This window comes from Homo sapiens, chromosome 1 (genome assembly GCF_000001405.40).
Source record: "Homo sapiens chromosome 1, GRCh38.p14 Primary Assembly".
Taxonomy (NCBI): Eukaryota; Metazoa; Chordata; class Mammalia; order Primates; family Hominidae; genus Homo; species Homo sapiens.
Genome location: NC_000001.11, coordinates 148193210 through 148210506, shown reverse-complemented (window position 1 = coordinate 148210506; position 17297 = coordinate 148193210). Strand labels below are relative to the sequence as shown.

Below are 17297 nucleotides of genomic sequence, written 5' to 3'. Positions count from 1 at the left end.
ATTATGCCACGGTAATTAAATAAGATAATGTAGCCAACAATCTCTTCAAAAGTACCTCGTTGAAACTTGCTGTTCTCAGGCCCTCGCCAGAGCCTGTTCCTGCTGTCTGCTCCCTGCCCACTCTCTTGTCTGGCTTGTTTTTAGGGGAGGTTGCGTCTGGGTCAGGTTCCTGTTGTTGTGACAAAGGCTTCTTAGTAGGAGGAATGCCTTGGCCCTAGAAGCTGGTTAAGGTCTACAGATTGAGTGAGTCCTATTTGGAACAGGGATGGGCCTTACAGTATTCTTTGCCATCTTAAGGTCAGGGAACTTAAGAATAGCAAACCTGGACTACTCTGTCAAAAGGTCATGCTCAGTCGGGCCTGACGGGGTGCTCCTGTAGTCCCAGCTACTCCGTAGGCTGTGGTGGGTGGATCAGTCGAGCCCAGGAGTTCAAGTCCAGGTTGTGCAACATAGCAAGACCTTGTCTCAAAAAAAAAAAAAAAAAAAAAAAAGAGTCATGTTCAATGCAAGATGTTAATAATAGAGGAAACTGTGGGAGTAGGGGTAGGGTAGGAAGAGGGTATATGGGAACTCTTCATACTTTCTGCCTAACTTTCCTGTAAACCTAAAACAACTCTAAAAGGTAGTCTATTATTAAAAACAAAAGCAAGTCAGGCTCGCCCATGGCTCTGAGATGTGAGGGTCCAAGATTTATTTTTAAAAGACTTTTCTTCTTCTCCATAAGAAGTTCAACAAGCAAGCACTGATATTTGGAGGGCTACACCCAGGACAGGGAATTTGAAACAAAACAGTCCCCTGGCTGCCTTCATTGGTGGCAATCCATTCATGTGGAAAGTGAGACTTGACCCAAATGAGGGGACCTCTAGGTTTAGCACCACTTGACCTTCGTCTGACCCTGGAATAAACAATACATCTACTCTTTAGTTTGGCATTGCATGGGTCAACTTGTTACTTAAATATTTTACTTTCAGCTGCTTAACTTTATATAGGTCAGCCTCAGTGTTGTTAAAAAAATGTTGCTAAAAATAATAAACAGTTTTGGAAATAGAGTACATCTAAAACAAATAAAGTTAACGTAGAATAATACATCTTAGGGCTAGTAGGGACTTCAGTTATCATTTGCTGCAAATTTTGCCTGCTCTTAAATAGGCATGAAAGAGTTAAATAATGCAGCCCCAGCAGGGCAGGTAGTAGAAGTTTTTTAATCCCAAATGCTGCCCCCGGGGGTAAGAGGAAGAGATATTTGATAATCCAAAGCAGAAAGTAAATATGGAATAAATTACTTCCACGTAACTGGGGAGATTATTTCAAGTAGATTGCAACTTGGAAATGGATCGCTTCTTTTCAAAACCTAGGGTGACCTGCAAATTTCCCATCCTGGTTTCAAGGTGGCACCAAGGGAAGGAGCAAGTCCTGGCTTTCAAGGGCACCTATAGCTGATATATTTTGTAAAGTCAAAGCTAACATCTTTAATATTTGCATTATTCAGATCCGTGCAGTAGTTAATAGGAACAGAAATAGAAAGAGACAGAGAAATGTGGCCAACAGAAAGACACTACCTTAAATGTTTGAGCTGTAACCTTTGGTAGATGGCAAACAGAAAACTCTTTGCAATTAATATAATTGCCCTTGTTCAAGGAAATAGTCAATTTGATTTGAAATGGGGTTGAAAAGCCTGGGAAGGGATCTGTGTGAGACACCTAAAAGAATTACTGTACATTTTTCCACGTAACGGGCCAATTTTCCCATTCTTTGGTTTTAGTGCTCCCTTTTATAGTCAGTATGACTATGCACCAATCCTATTTCCAAGTGGTAGTCTTTCTAATATTTGTCTTCTCCTCTTTTTTTTCAGACAACGTCTCATTCTGTCACCCAGGCTGGAGTGCAGTGGCACAATTATAGCTCACTGCAGCCTCAAACACCTGGGCTCAAGCAATCCTTCCACCTCTGCCTCCTGAGTAATTGGGACTACAGGCATGTGCCACCACACCCAGCTAATTTTTAATTTTTAATTTTTTTGTAGAGATGGCGGTCTTGCTATGTCACCCAGGCTGGTCTTGAACACCTGGCCTCAAGTGATCCTCCGGCCTTGGTCTCTCAAAGCTCTGGGATTACAGACATGAGCCACTGCACCCGGCTCTATCTCCCCTTCCTATGTGTGTTAGCTCTAGAACAAGAGAAGCCTTGTTGAGATTCCTGGCTGCCCACCCCCCATCACCTCTCTGACTTTGGGCAAGTTGCCTGGCCTCTCTCAGCCTTTATTTTCTTTTTGTGAAATGGGGATAATAATAGTACTTGCCTCATAGGCAAAATGTTGTGAGAACTAAACGAGAAAATGCATGTAAAGCACTTGGCACTTAGTTCTTTTTATGATTATAATGATAATCAGACACAATAAATTATGTCTCACATCACATGCTGTTTAGCCTATTCACTGTTCTATTTTTCCTGAAGTCAGTTCAGTGTGTAGCATCCAGAATTGAACAAAACACCCCCGATGTGACCTGATAGTGCAAAGTAAACTATCATCTCCTTCATTCTAGGTATTATGTTTCTATTAATGCAGTCTAAAGGTAGGATATGAGTTGTTTTGTTTATGTATCTTTTTTTTTTTTTTTTCAGGGATGGGGAATGACTATCTCCAATTAAACTTCTCAGTAAAATCTCTCCTCTTGTGTGTTGTGCTTTAGTATTTAGTTTTGGATACTAGTGCAGGATCTTAAATTTATCCCATTACATGTGATTTCTTTAGTGTTAGTTCCTTTTCAAATCTGTATAAGCCATTCATTCATTCATTCATTCATTCATTTTAGAAAGTCAAACATATATTTATCATGAGCCAGCACAGTGCCAGTTATTTGCCATATTCTAAGATTTTAAACATTCATTGGCATTTTAATTGTGCATGATTTCTATACCTTCATCTGAATTGTTGTGTAACATATTTGGATAATACAGAGCTAAGGGCACAGGCAAAGAAATATCTTTAGAAACTTTCCTCTAGGCTCACCAGCACCCTTAGGGCACTGTCATTTAAATATTATGAATTAATCTTGTGTGGTATCATTTGGTACAAATTATTTTCCAGCTTGACCAGCAAGAAATCTTGAGACTTTCTCAGAATTCTTGTTCAAGTCAAGATTCCCTATATCTTTCTAGTCACCTAACTCAATATTCCTATCAAAATAAGATGAATCTGATGAGATTTTTTTTAAAAAGTGAAGTTAGGCTGGCTTGTTTCCTAATGGGCTGAGAGGACATATTCCCATTCCAGAATTTTGAAGAATCTAAGTGCACACAACACAGTGCCTAAAGCATGTCAGCTGTCTGTTTCGGATGCTCGTCCTACCACGTGTAGCATGGCGAAGACAGGAGTCAGAGGTTGGGAAGTTTAGCTAGGTGAAAAAGTCTGCCCTAGGGCATGCCCTTCCCACTACTGGAGAGCAGTTGCTTTACATTTTATTTTACCTAGCTTTTTGTAAATATTTCTCCCTTTCTGGGTTACTTGTGATCAAGGGGCATGGACTTACTCATCTCTTATAATTCCAATCAGTGCATGACACATCATAGCTGATCCTCAATTATGTTTTAAGTTAATGTACTCAAGGTTTATTTGTCAATTGAATGCCTAACCTATTACAATTAAGGAGAGAGAATACTATCCCCTTTCAGTCCAGGTGTATGGCAAATGGAGATGTCTGTAGGTATTAGGACATCCCTAGAAACTTTCAGAAAGGCATTGGAGGAATGCCTCCTTAAACAGTATGAAACTCCAGTGATTAGCAATGGAGTCTAATGAATGAGAAGCAGTATAATGGCTTTCTCAAAATATTGGGAAATTCATGATCTTTTTCTCTCCTTTATCATTCCTAGGGTTTTGGAAATCTGGATTGTAGCAGGGCATTGTAAGTTAAAAAATCATCTTCCCATTCTGTTCTTTGCAAAGATATTTCTGTTCCTTAAATTTGTTGAGGGTAAGAGATTGCAGATTGCTTCTGTGGACTTCTTGAAGGTAAGTATTATTTCTTGATATTTGTATCTCCAGTGTCTGGCACAATGCTTGGGGGTGAGGAAGAACTCAATAAATGTTTGTTGGATGAATAAGTAATATTTGTGAAAGTGTTTTGTAGACTATGAAACTGCACAAACGAAAGATCACAAGGATGATTGCTTATGAAGCCCAGAAATTGAAGTGGAACTCCTTTCTTAATGTAACACACACATACATATTACACACATTTTTTTCCTTGAATAGTGGCTGCATTTTTTTTAATGGAACACTGGGCTACTTTTAAATATTGAAATCAAAATGTACATGCCCACTTTTTATTAGCAGTTGCTCCATTTGCTCCTCCAGCTTTGGCTGGAAAACATCTATTTGTATACTTAGTATCTCTGTCCTTGGTTACCCCCATCCCTGCCTTCTCACCCATCTTTAGTCTGCCTTATGGTCTTGCATAGATTTTCAACTGTTAGACTGTCAGGCTTGCAAGGATGCATTTTAAGAAATCAGTTTCTTTGAAAGCACTTGAACCAAAAGTCAAATGGCATGATGTAAACCAATAGTCTTTCAATGAAGATATGAAAACCCTCAATAATTACAAATAAGGAATCTAACCTATTGACACCAATTTGATTACACTGTATTGATTTCTACAAAAATATTATGAGAGAGCAGGCTACTTATACTCTACTGATCAGATTACAAGTATACTTAGTAAAGACAGAAATAGTATAGCCATAAAAGAGTTTACCTTAAAATGTCACCTGATGTTAGTTGTCCCTCACTGATTCAAGTAATTTCCTTTATTGAGGTGGATCTGCCTGTTGGTGGAGAACCCTAGACTGCATGCAGCCATGCACATGATCTGGAGACACAGCAGGTGAGTCCAGCATGTCAAGAGCAGATGACAATGAATGGAAAAAGCTGGTCTTGCTACTTTCTCAGTAACAGTGACTAGCAGTGTGTATGAAGAGATCAAAATTCTAAAGGTTCCCACAAATTTCTCAGTTTCCTATTTAGGGCTTTAGGTCTTTGGAGATATCTTCCAGATACGGTATTTGTCTGTTTTCCTTATTCTTCTGTGAACTGGTATAAATGAAGGTGGGTAGGGTGGGGTGAGTGGGGCTTTGAGGCCTTCCATTTCATCTGAGCTCGATGTGCCAGGAGGAGGCCCCTGAGAAGCTCAGGCAGTTCCACATAAGCCAGCTCCCACACAGCTCAGCAGGACTTGACAATGATTGCACTGTGAGGCTTTCATCCTTCTGGGCAATTGGCAAATCCAAAATTTCTAGGTAGAGGGGTTTAGGGTGGCACCCTGGAGAGGAGGAAGGATCAAGGGCATTGTCTTGAAGCGGCTTTGTCTAACAAGCACCAATTTTTTACTTAGCTTGAATGCTTATTTTGACATATCTCGGAGTTAAGTAAATGGAAATTTTTGAGAGGAACCTTAAGGAAACTCCAAGTCACCCCTGGATATTGCCAATAGAACCCAAGTATGGTAAACACTTCAAAGCCTCCATAGTGTTGTATGAAGCATGGAATCCCTCTTCTGAGGGTTTGAATTCACTCACCAGGGAAATGTTTTTCAAAGTATTGTCCTACTGAACCATGCAATCAAGAGTAGTGATGGGGAGGGCTTCTAGTGAAGGAGAGCCTTCATCTGTAATAAGCATCTTGGACAGAACTAATGCACAGTGAAGTCTAAAACCACTGTCCACTGAAAGAACCTCAAGAGCTCTTGTCCTTCTGATGTATGGAATTTCTTAATTTTTTATTCCTCTGTATCTCCCAGTGGTATTTTGGAATATGAATACCTCCACTGGATTACTTTCCCCATTGTGACTAGGAAGTCTGTATCTTTTTGAGCGAATCAAATTATCAAAGGGCATCCCTCAGAATCTTTCATGCTGCATCTAATGAGGAGCTCACTTACATTTATAGCACACGGTATTGACCATCACATTGGGCAAAATGAAAACATGACAATAATATTAATACCACATGTTTAAATAAGAGTCTACAATTCACAGTTACATAAATTAAACTGCATGGTTAAATTCATAGCACATTTATAGTTAAATCATATCTCATCAATTTTTACAATATGCTGTCAGGGTAAGGCCATATTCTTTCTATTTTACAGATGAGGAGCTTGAGACTCAGAGAAGGCAATGACACACCTTAGGTCAGCTGACTAGTGTACACAGAGAAATTGGCTCTCAAGTCAGATCTTCCAACCCTAGTCCACCAATGCTAACTCATGTCATCAGATGACATCCCAAGGGGCTTTCAGGAAGATTCATTGATGTCAGATCACCTGGGTTCTGACATTTGTAGTCCCTTTGGGAAAATCTCCACTTAGATTGCCATGGACATCCTCTTGATGAGTGACAGTTTTCTCCAGGGAAAGATGCTTCTTAGTTGGTCTTGCTCCACCTGTACCGGTCAGCTTTACCGTAGGCCTCACATTCTTGATACAGAGCACATCCTCTCCTGCCTTGCTGGCCACTGTATTGCTCACGTCAGGGAGGGTGTGACTCTAACATTTCACAAAACTCCTTTTTCTCATATCTGATTATGCCGTGTTTGTAGACACACTGTAGACGTGTGATCATATTTTCTACTTCTTTGTTTTAATCATCTTGATTTAATCCCTGTGAGCTCATATTCCTTCATTAATGTCATCAAATTAAAAGAGGAAAAGGGATTTTGGAGGCTTATGCTGGATTTCCCCAAAGACAGGCACGATAGTGGTCCACTCAGCCTCTGCTGTGCCCTTCCTGTGGCAGGGACACACTATCAGGGAATGCAGCCTGTAATAACTAGACCCCCCTCATTATCACATAGGCCTTCCTTTTGTTCAGCTGAAAATTTCAGCTTTTACCTTCCACACATTGGTCCTTGTCTTGTCCCTTTTTCATGTGAAAGTTTTTCAAATATATGAGCCAGTCATCACGTAGCATTGAAGTTATATAACTGGAAGTTGTTATGTTCTGAACCATGTCTCTCCAGATTCATATGTTGAATTCCCAGCCCCCAGTGCCTCAGAATGTGACTGTATTTGGGAACAGGGTCTGCATTAGTTTGTTTTCACACTGCTATAAAGACATACCTGAGGCTGGATAATATATGAAGAAAAGAGGTTTAATTGATTCACAGTTCTGCAGGCTGTACAGGAAACATGGCTGGGGAGGCTTTAGAAAACTTACAATCATGGTGGAAGGTGAAGAAGCAGACACATCTTCACATGGCTGGCAGGAAAGAGAGAGAGAGCAAAGGGGGAGGCGCTACACACTTTCTAACAACCAGACCTTGCGAGAACTCTATCAGGAGAACAGCAAGGGGAAAGTCAACCCCCAGGATTCAGTCACCTCCCACCAGGCCCCTCCCCCAACTCTAGGAATTACAGTTAGACATGAGATTTGGGTGGGAACACACAGCCAAACCATTTTATTCTGCCCCAGCCCCTCCCAAATCTCATGTCCTTCTTACATTTCAAAACACAATTATGCCTTCCCAACAGTTCCCCAAAGTCTTAATTCATTCCAGCATTAACTCAAAAGTCCATGTCCAAATTTTCTTCTGAGACAAGGTTAAGTCCCTTCCAAATATGAGCCTGTAAAATCAAAAACAAGTTAGTTACTTCCCAGATACAATGGGGGGTACAGGCATTGGGTAAATGCTCCCATTCCAAAATATAGAGGATACAGGCCCTATGCAAGTCGGAAACCCAGCAAGGCAGTCATTAAGTCTTAAAGCTCCAAAATAATGGAGCTTAAAGTTGTTGGTGGATTTACCATTCTGAGTCTGGAGGATGGTGGCCCTCTCTTCAAAGCTCCATTAGGCAATTCCCAAGTGGGAACTTTGTGTGGAGGTTCCAAGACCATATTTCCCCTCCATACTGCACCAGTAGAGGTTCTCCCTGAAGGCTCTGCCCCTACAGCAGTCTTCTGCCTGGACATTCAGGCATTTCCATACATCTTCTGAAATCTAGGTGGAGGCTCCCAAGCCTCAACTCTTGCCCTCTGTGTACCCACAGGCTTAACACTACATGGAAGCCATGAGGCTTGCAACTTTCACCCTCTGGAGCAGCAGCCTAAGACATATCTGGGGCCCTTTGAACCATGGCTAGAGCTGGAGCAGCCGGGATGCAGGGAACCATGTCCTGAGGCTGCGCAGAGTAGCAGGGCCCTGGGCCTGACCCATGAAACCATATAACCCTCCTATGCTTCCAGACCTGTGATGGGAGGGGCGGCTGCAAAGGTCTCGGAAATGCCTCCGAGGCATCTCTGAAATGCCTCGGAGGCATTTCCCCATGGTCTTGGCTATTGCTATTAGCATGTGGCTCCTCTTTACTTATGCAAATTTCTGCAGCTGGCTTAAATTTCTCCCCAGAAAATGGGTTTTTCTTTTCTACCACATGGCCAGGGTATAAATTTTCCAAACTTTTATGCTCTGCTTCCCTTTTAAGTGTAATTTCCAGTATCAAATTATCTCCTTGTGCATGCATATTAGTTTATGCTGTTAGATGCAGCCAGGCCACATCATGAATGCTTTGCTGCTTAGAAATTTCTTTTGCCAGATACCCTAAATAATCTCTTTCAAGTTCAAAGTTCCACAGATCTCTAGCACAGGGCCACAATGCCACTAGTCTCTTTACTAAAGTATAGCAAGAGTGACCTTTACTTCAGTTCCCAGTAAGTCCCTCATCTCCATCTGAGACCAGCTTGGCTATCTCTGTCCATATTACTGTCAGCATTTTTGTCAAAATCATTCAACAAGTCTCTAGGAAGTTCCAAACCTTCCCTCATCTTCCTATCTTCTTCTGAACCCTCCAAACTGCTCCAACCTTTGTACATTACTCAGTTCCAAAGCTGCTTCCACATTTTCAGGTTTCATTATAGCAATGCCTCACTATTTGGTACAAATTTTCTGTATTAGTCCCTTCTCACACTGCTATAAAGACATACCTGAGACTGGGTAATTTATGAAGAAAAGATGTTTAATCGACTCACCATTCTGCAGGTTGTACCAGAAGCAGGGCTGAGGAGGCCTTAGGAAACTTAAAATCATGGCGGAAGGCAAAGGGGAAACAGGTACATTTTCTCATGGCCAGCAGAACAGAGCGAGAGCAAAGTGGGAGGTGCTACACACTTTCAAACAACCAGATCTGGTGAGAACTCTATCACAAGAACGGGAAGGTGGAAGTCCGCCCCCCCGTGATTCAATCACCTCCTACCAGGCCCCTCCTTCAACACTGGGAATTACAATTCAACATGAGATTTGGATGGGGAAACAGAGCCAAACCATATTAGGGTCTTTAAGAGGTAATAAGTTAAAATGGAGTTATTAGGGTGGCCCATAATTCTACAGAACTGATGTCCTTGTAAGAAGGGGAAGAGACACCAGAAGTGCCAGCACAGAGGAAAGGTCCTGTAAGGACACAGGCTAAAGACAGCCATCTACAAGCCAGGGAGAGAGGCCCCAGAAGAAACCAAAGCCACAAATACCTTCTCTTGGACTTTCAGCCTCCAAAGCTGTGAGAAAATACATTTCTGTTGTTTAAGCCACCCAAGTCAGTCTGTGGTACTTTGTTATGGCTGCCCTAGCAGATGAATTCAGAAGTCAAATGTATATGGCTTTGAAGCCACAGAGGAAGGTGAGATTATCTGACCAGAGATCCAAGGTGAAAGGGGTGGAGAGCTATGGGGTAAATCACTTTACAGAGTGGGTATAGGAAGAAGAGCCTGTGAAAAACACAGAGAAGAATCAAGATAGAGCAGAGTTAAAGATGACAAGGGAAGACAGAGTTCTTTGCTTTCTTTTATTTTGGGTTCACATCTCTTAATTTCGTGTTCACTTTTGTTAAGGTCATCCTCAGCATTTATACTCTCTCTCCTTTTGTGCCCCCATGGACCAAGTTAAGAAGGTGTAGGCTTCAAATCTTAAGATCGGTCACCACAAAATTCAAAAGTAAGTGAAAGTGTTTATATTAGTGTCACTGAATCAAGAGCCAATCTCAAAATTTACTTGGGGAATTTTTCAAAGTGCACATTTATTTGACATACACTGCGAAATTTTATTTTAGTATAGATTTGTGGTGGGATACTACCATATATTTTGAAAACAAACAAACAAGCAAACAAAAAAATGTTCCCCAAACCCACAGAATCCCCAGGTACTTTTGATGTACACACTGATGGAGACAAACTAATCCAGATGAAAAGACAAATGAATTTTTTTCTACATGCCTGGAAATAATGCCAGATGATTATAGATTTCAAACTTCATAGAAAATTGAAATTTCCCCCTTTTGTAGGGGGAATGTTTTGTTAATCTAGCATACACAGCCTATGTTTTCTATTCTTATTACTTTTAATAATAATTTTTTTCTTTTCTTTTTTTTCAGAGACAAGGTCTTTGTCTGTTGCTCAGGATGGAGTGTAGTGGTGCCATAGCACACTGTAATCTTGAATTTCTGGACTACTGGCATACACCACCATGCTTAGGTAATTGTTTCTTATTTTTTGTAGTGACAGGGTCTTACTATGTTGCCCAGGCTGGTCTCAAACTCCTGACCTCAGGTGATCCTCCCACCTTAGCCTCCCAAAATGCTAGGATTATAGGCATGAGCCACCATGCCCAGCCTACTTTTTTTTTTTTTTTTTTTTTTGAGATAGAGTCTTGCTCTGCAGCCCAGGCTGGAGCGCAGTGGCTTCATCTCAGTTTACTGCAGCCTCCCGGGTTCAAGCGATTCTCCTGCGTCAACCCCCAGTTAACTGGGTCTACAGGCACCTACCACCACACTCAGCTAATTATTGTGGGTTTTTTTTTGTTTTTTTTTGTTGTTGTTGTTTGTTTGTTTTTTGTTTTGAGACGGAGTCTCACTCTGTCGCCCAGGCTGGAGTGCAATGGCACAATCTTGGCTCACTGCTACCTCTGTTTCCTGGGCTCAAACAATTCTCCTGCCTCAGCCTCCTGAGTAGCTGGGACCACAGGCACCAGCCACCACATCTGGCTAACTTTTGTATTTCGAGTAGAGATGGGGTTTCACCATGTTGGCCAGGCTGGTCTCGAACTCCTGACCTTGTAATACGACCGCCTCGGCTTCCCAAAGTGCTGGAATTACTGGCATGAGCCACCGTGCCCGGCCCACCAGCCTACTTTTAATGGTAATTTTGAAAATGACAGTTGACCTGGTAGCCTTTGGGGATGTTTGTGTTCCTCCTCCCAGCAAATCGCCTTCCATGGGCAACAGGCACTGCTCCTCTCTCATGTGTCAGAAAATCAGTCTGAAACTAGCTATCAAAGCGTACAATAGTCTATCACGTTGACCATCACATTATTTGTTGTGACTTCGGAGAACTCCCCTGTTTTCTCAAATCCCTGTCTGCTAAGAATTAGGAACCATTTCTATATAATAAAAAACTATTGCTCACCAGAAAATATATTCTACTTTCCTGTGGAAGAAAACTTATGACATTGAACTTGATAAAAAGCCATTTTCACAAGCTCAAATAAAACCAGTCTTCTCCATCTCCCCTCCCACCTCTATTGGCTCAAGTATGAGCAACTGAAGGATACCACGCTGCAAAAGAGATGTTGGGCTTTAGGCTGAAGCAAATCTGGGCCAACCAGAGTTAATCAAATTCTTTATTAAAAAAAATGAATTGTGCCACTCTAACTTAGAAGTTTTGGAGAAACACTAACACATTTTTTTTTTTTTTGCTGATTTCTTGAATTAAAAAAAAAAAAAACAAAACTACTGCTCCTTTCCTTTTGGGTAAGTGAGGAGGCAATAGGGTCTTGAGAATCACCAGGACAGCCAGACTCTGTTAGTTTACTTTCATGTGAATACATTAGGTTCTGAGTAGATAGGCAGAGCTACAATACACTGTGCCTAAAACATCACAGTGGAAAGGTGTGTGTGTGTTTGTTGGGGGTGGAGGTGCCTGGTCCTGAGATTTATCAAGCCTACCTTATGGGTACTGACTTGACTGGTTCGTCTACTTTAGGTAAGATGAGAATATACTCCCCTGCCCCAAATTATATTTTATCCAGGTGCCCTGGTGTCTGACATTCCATCTGTAATCTTTCTTTCCTGCTTTTAAAATGAACATTCTCTTGGTTTGTGCAAAACACTAAACTACTTTATGAAGGCAGATACACTAATGTAGGAAACTGCTTTGTTTTCCATTGGTTGAAAAGGACTAGTGGAGCTGTAGGAAGCTTGGAAGTTCATCAGTGGGAATGGAGGGAGGCGGCCAAGAAGGTGAGGGGAAGGGGAGGGGCCACAGACAGATTTTGTCTACTTGGGAATTTTGAATGGGATTGACCCTGTCCACTCAGTAATAGTTAAAAATGAAACAAAACAAAAAACAAGGTTTTTGAGTGTTGTTTGAATCCAAGTGCACTATTTCAGTAGTGGAACTGGGCAAGACTTATAAAGCTGCCGTAGGGAAGGGTGATTAGGATTGCAACCATAAGCATGAGTTGTAAATCATGACATTTATTTGGGCACAGAAACCAGATCATTAATATTTGAGGAGCACCTTTCAAAACTCAAATTTAGAGGGCAGAAAACAGTGTTGGCTTTTTACACTATTTCTCTCTTTTTGAGGTAAGTCAGAGAGTTGAGTTATGAAGCATTAAAAGATCATTTTATTCCCATATTCAATTTTCTTCTTTTCACTTGGAGAAAACCTCTTAGGCTAAAGACCATTGGAAGTGGCCTCCATGTTTAACTCACTGGCCCCTAATTTCTGCTGGACCTTCATTTCAATCGACTGTGTTTCAGGAGGGAAGCGATTCTGGTGACCTCACTGTAGGGAGACAGGAGCCTCTGGCAAGTTACCAAACTGCCAGCCTATTCTACATGAGCAGAGCTCTTTGCTTTGGCAGAGGAAAGCAATGCTGTTGTAGGTCAACAGTCAAATGTGTCCCGGAAGTTGTTAAGTGTGTGGGGCATTCTAGCCACTGCTGCTGGTGGAGAGACCTGGCCATTGCCTGCATCTCACCTTCAGAATATGGCCCTGATTAAGCTCTGCAGGTAGAGTCCTGGTTTCTGAGAAGGGTACAGGGCCTGAGGACATGCTGGTATTTCTTCCTCACACTGCTGCTGAGGACACAGAGAAGGGTATTCTGGCCAAATTAGCCAGTTATTGGTTCCCCAGATAACTTTGGTTTTAGACACCTGACTTGACTCTGAGTGAGTGGGAGGCTGTTTTCTCTGACTGTTTTTGCATCTTGGCTTTCATGTCACTACATGAACATTCAGCCCACAAATTTCTGTTATCTAATCAGGTGCATCAGTCCGTGGTGGAGATGAGAGGGGAGGAACACCCCTCTGACTCAGATTTTGCACAAACAAAATTCAGTCTTGTTAGCAATGGCAGGAAGAGCACCCAGAGCTGCTCAGATCAGATCTTTCCCTGACAATCTGCAGGGCAGTGAAAGTGAGTGAGGAGTTTTTATGGCAAGATAAGCAATGCAAGGGCCCCAATTTGGTTACTAAATAAAATAAAATGTCAATATTTACACATGACCTTCAAGGCTCTTACACTCTTGCTTCCTTAATATTCAGTACAGACTACATTTTCTTTAGTCCGTTACCAACAGCTTGGAAATTCAGTTAGAGGACATAACCCAAGTGTTCTCCAAATGTTGCTTCCAAATGGTCATCTTGAAAAGTGCCATTTTAAGGCATGCAGTCTTTCTACACTGAGAGAGGGCTGTCACTCTGCCTACCCAACTGCAGGGGAATTATCCAAAGATTAAAACCACTGATGATAAAGATAGTGCCATGCAGCATATTTTAATTTGTTGATAATGAAAGCACAAGAGGCCTTTTTACAGGCTTCTTGAAGCCTTACTATTGTGTATTGCACATACAACCCCGGCTTGCGCGCTGACACAAACAAACGTGATCGTAACGGTTGAAATATAGTTAGAAACACAACTAAGAACATCTGTATTGTAAGCAGAAATAAATTAGAAATGCTGAAGTGTTTTGTAGCTGTGAAAATGAAGGAATTAAAAAAACCCACAGTACCTGGATTAAGCGGTTATAAATAACGCATAAAGCAAAAATCTCATTACCCCCAGTGTAAACTCCCCCAAATGAAATACATTTTATGAATGTAGTAACACTGTAATAACCAAAGCATTTGTTTTTCCCCACAAATTTTCCATTTCATAACTGTGAGATTGTTTGGATTTACAGGTTCGGGCCACAACATCCGTGACTTTACCGGTTTTGGTCTCTTCCTTGTAACTTTCGGCTCCAGGATGCTGCGCAGCTCCTCTCTGCACTATCTATCAGAACGTTGCTCTGCGTGCTTGAAAGTTTCGCCAAACAGAAGTACACAAAAACAAACAGAGGCGAAACACAAATCCCCTCAGCCCTGGAGGAAAAGGCCTTGAAGCTCTTCCAGTGCAGAGGCCACGCAGAGGACATGCTCCTACCTGTGCACATCGGCCACGCCTGGGGTGCCTCCTGGAGTCCAGGCTGCTGGCGATGGAATCCATCATGTTGCTGATGTCACTGTAAGTCGCAGCCCGCAGGCTGAGCTATGGGGCAGTTTGAGGGGCCAGAAGTTTTCTCCTGGATGTCATCTTCAGCATACCCAGGAACCAGAGAAAATGTAATTCTTCCCATGCCCATCTCACTCCTGCAGACTGGGGTCCCTCTTCAGTTTCTTTTTTTTTTTTTAATCATAAGCACATAGGCTCTGGGACATCATGGAACCCAGAAGCATGCTGAAAGGTGAAGCACAAGTCTAAAGTCTTGTTAGTTATGAAATCCAGCTCTCCTGGATTAGGCAAGGGGAAAACCACATATTTAAGATATACTAGGGCAAGAAGTAAAGCGGAGAGAGCTGACTCAATGAAATTTTGTGTATAATAGGAGCCATCCTATGTCTAATTGTCTCCTGTCTCAGAGACCTCATGATTATTTCTGAGCTTTAACCAATGAATTAATGTAGGTTCTGTCTGGCTCTTCTAACATCTTTGGAATGGTTCCTCAGTGAACCACAGCTATCCATAGAGATAACAACCTGAATCCAAGCCCAGTGCCCAATCAGGTGCTACTCTTACTTGCATGACTTGGTTCTATTCTTGCCCAGTCCCATTGGGATAACAGCGGTAGCTAAGCAGCTAAGCAGAGTGACCTCATTAGATTATCTTCTAGCATAAAATCACATGTTAACTCATTTTTGGACTCATAGTCAGAAACTTGTAATTTTTCTTCATTTTGCTATGCAGCTATTGCACAGTGGGGGAAATATGACTGGATAATGAGTCAAAAAGACTTGCTCTTACATTCCATCTTCCCCTTCATTGCCTGGGTGTCTTCGGACCAGTCAATCTTTGAGCCTCAGTTATCTAGAAAATGGGGACACTACTACTTTATATTTTTTCTTTTAGTGGGACCTAGATAAGGTAATGTTAATAAAGGGGCTTTATTTATATATTGAATGGCATGATGTTACGATTACTAAAAGGAAATAGCTATTCTACTTACATTACAATGTGGTTTGAGAATCAAATTCAATGAAATATGTGAAGAGGACTTTGAAAAGTAGAAAGAGCTGAGCAATGCAAAATACATCACTGCACTTGAATGTAATGGCTGGTGTCATGTCAGCTGGATTAACTGTGGTCACCAGTTCTCATATACCCATTTGCTAGAGTAGCTCAGTCCTCTGGACTATGAAAGAGGGCACAGAAGCTACAGACACGAGATCTGGTACTATCTTTACCACTACATTTTTATTGTGAGCACCTCAATCATTTTGAGATATTTGTCTCATTTCTTTTACTTTGAATATGGAAAAACAACAGTCACCTCCTAATATGGCTGTTGGGAAAACATAACTGAAATGGATTCAGAAAATAGCCTTTAAGGACAAAGTTATGTGAAGGACATAAATTGTGCATGAACTCTTTCAGTAATGAATAGGCACATCTCCACATACCCCAGGATCTTAAGCTGATAATGTAACAACAAGAACCTATTGAATCAGGACAAGGTGATGGTTCTGCTCCTGTGGCAATCTAGGTCTCAGAATCTGGTATGCAGGCAGGGTGTAAAGAGCAGATTGCATTTTCAAGAGAAAGGTTAAGCTTGAATGTTTTGGACAGGAGGTGATTAGATGCATTTTTAAAAAGTCCTTGAATTTACCTGATGATTTTTATGTCCTTGTGATGGTTGTAGCCCATTCCAGGATACGAATAAATTTAGCAACACAAAGAAGTTCATTTAAAAATCTTTCCCTCAGATGCTCCACTTCCTCTTCCTTCTAGCTTTCTCTTCTTCACTAATTTGCAACCCGCGAGGCTGCCCTTTTGATCACTGGCAGTCTAAGAATAGTGATAAGTGGCTTTTGAAAATGTTTTAAAACTTTTATAGGAGAGTGGTGGAAAGATGGAGGTTTCTAGAAAACCCTTAATAGAAGAGACCCATTTCATTTATTTATTTTTGGTTTTAAAGCATTATTTTATTTTGAATGAATTTTAGACTTTAAGAAATTGCAAAAACACTAGAAAGTGTTCCTTTAATCCCTTACCCTGCTTCCACTTATGTTGAATCTCTCTCATCATTTTAATTATCAAGAATAGGAAATTGACATTGGTACAATATTATTAACTAAGCTACAGACTTCATCTGATCTTTACCAGTTTTCCTGCAAATATCATTTTTCTCCCATCCAAGTACTAACAGGCCTAACCCTGCTTAGCTTCTAAGATCAGACAAGATTGGGTGCATTCAGGGTGGTATGGCCATAGACCCAAATATCATTTTTCTGCCTCAGGAGCCTATCCGGGACCCCGCATTGTATTGAGTTGTATTTCTCCCTAGTTGACTCCAATCTGTGACAGTTCCCTAGTCTTTCCTTATCCTTCATAACTTTGGCACTCTTTGAAGGATACTGATTTTTACCAGTGGAAGGTATCCGAGTTACTGGTGGCAAATCCATACAGGTCTGCAGCAACCTCAGTTCTTGCCCCCTCAGAAGAAAGAATTTGACTGAGGGGCATAAGGCAGAAAAAGAGATCAAGGCAACTTTCAGAGTAGGAGTGGGAGTTTATTTAAAAAGGCTTTAGAACAGGAAAGAAAGGAAAGTATGCTTGGAAGAGACCCAAGTGGGCATGTGAAGGTCAAGAGTAGTGTTTAACCTTGATCCTAAGACTTTATAGGCTGGCCTCTTTCCCATGATTCTTCCCTTAAAGTAGGCTGCCCTCATGCACAGAGCCCTCCTTACCCTTGGGAGATGAGCATGTGCACTGTGTT

General features: G+C 41.4%; 1 long non-coding RNA gene and 1 pseudogene across 1 annotated transcript in view; one reads left to right on the top strand and one right to left on the bottom strand.

The window, feature by feature from the left end:
* The window catches only part of LOC101927468 (uncharacterized), a 38979-nt gene extending 36565 nt beyond the window's left edge, over positions 1–2414 (top strand). The window contains exon 5 of the long non-coding RNA NR_120331.1: positions 1853–2414. This is a non-coding gene — a long non-coding RNA (uncharacterized LOC101927468). The remainder of the gene's footprint in view (positions 1–1852) is intronic.
* On the bottom strand, positions 16669–16791 carry RNA5SP57 (RNA, 5S ribosomal pseudogene 57; annotated as a pseudogene).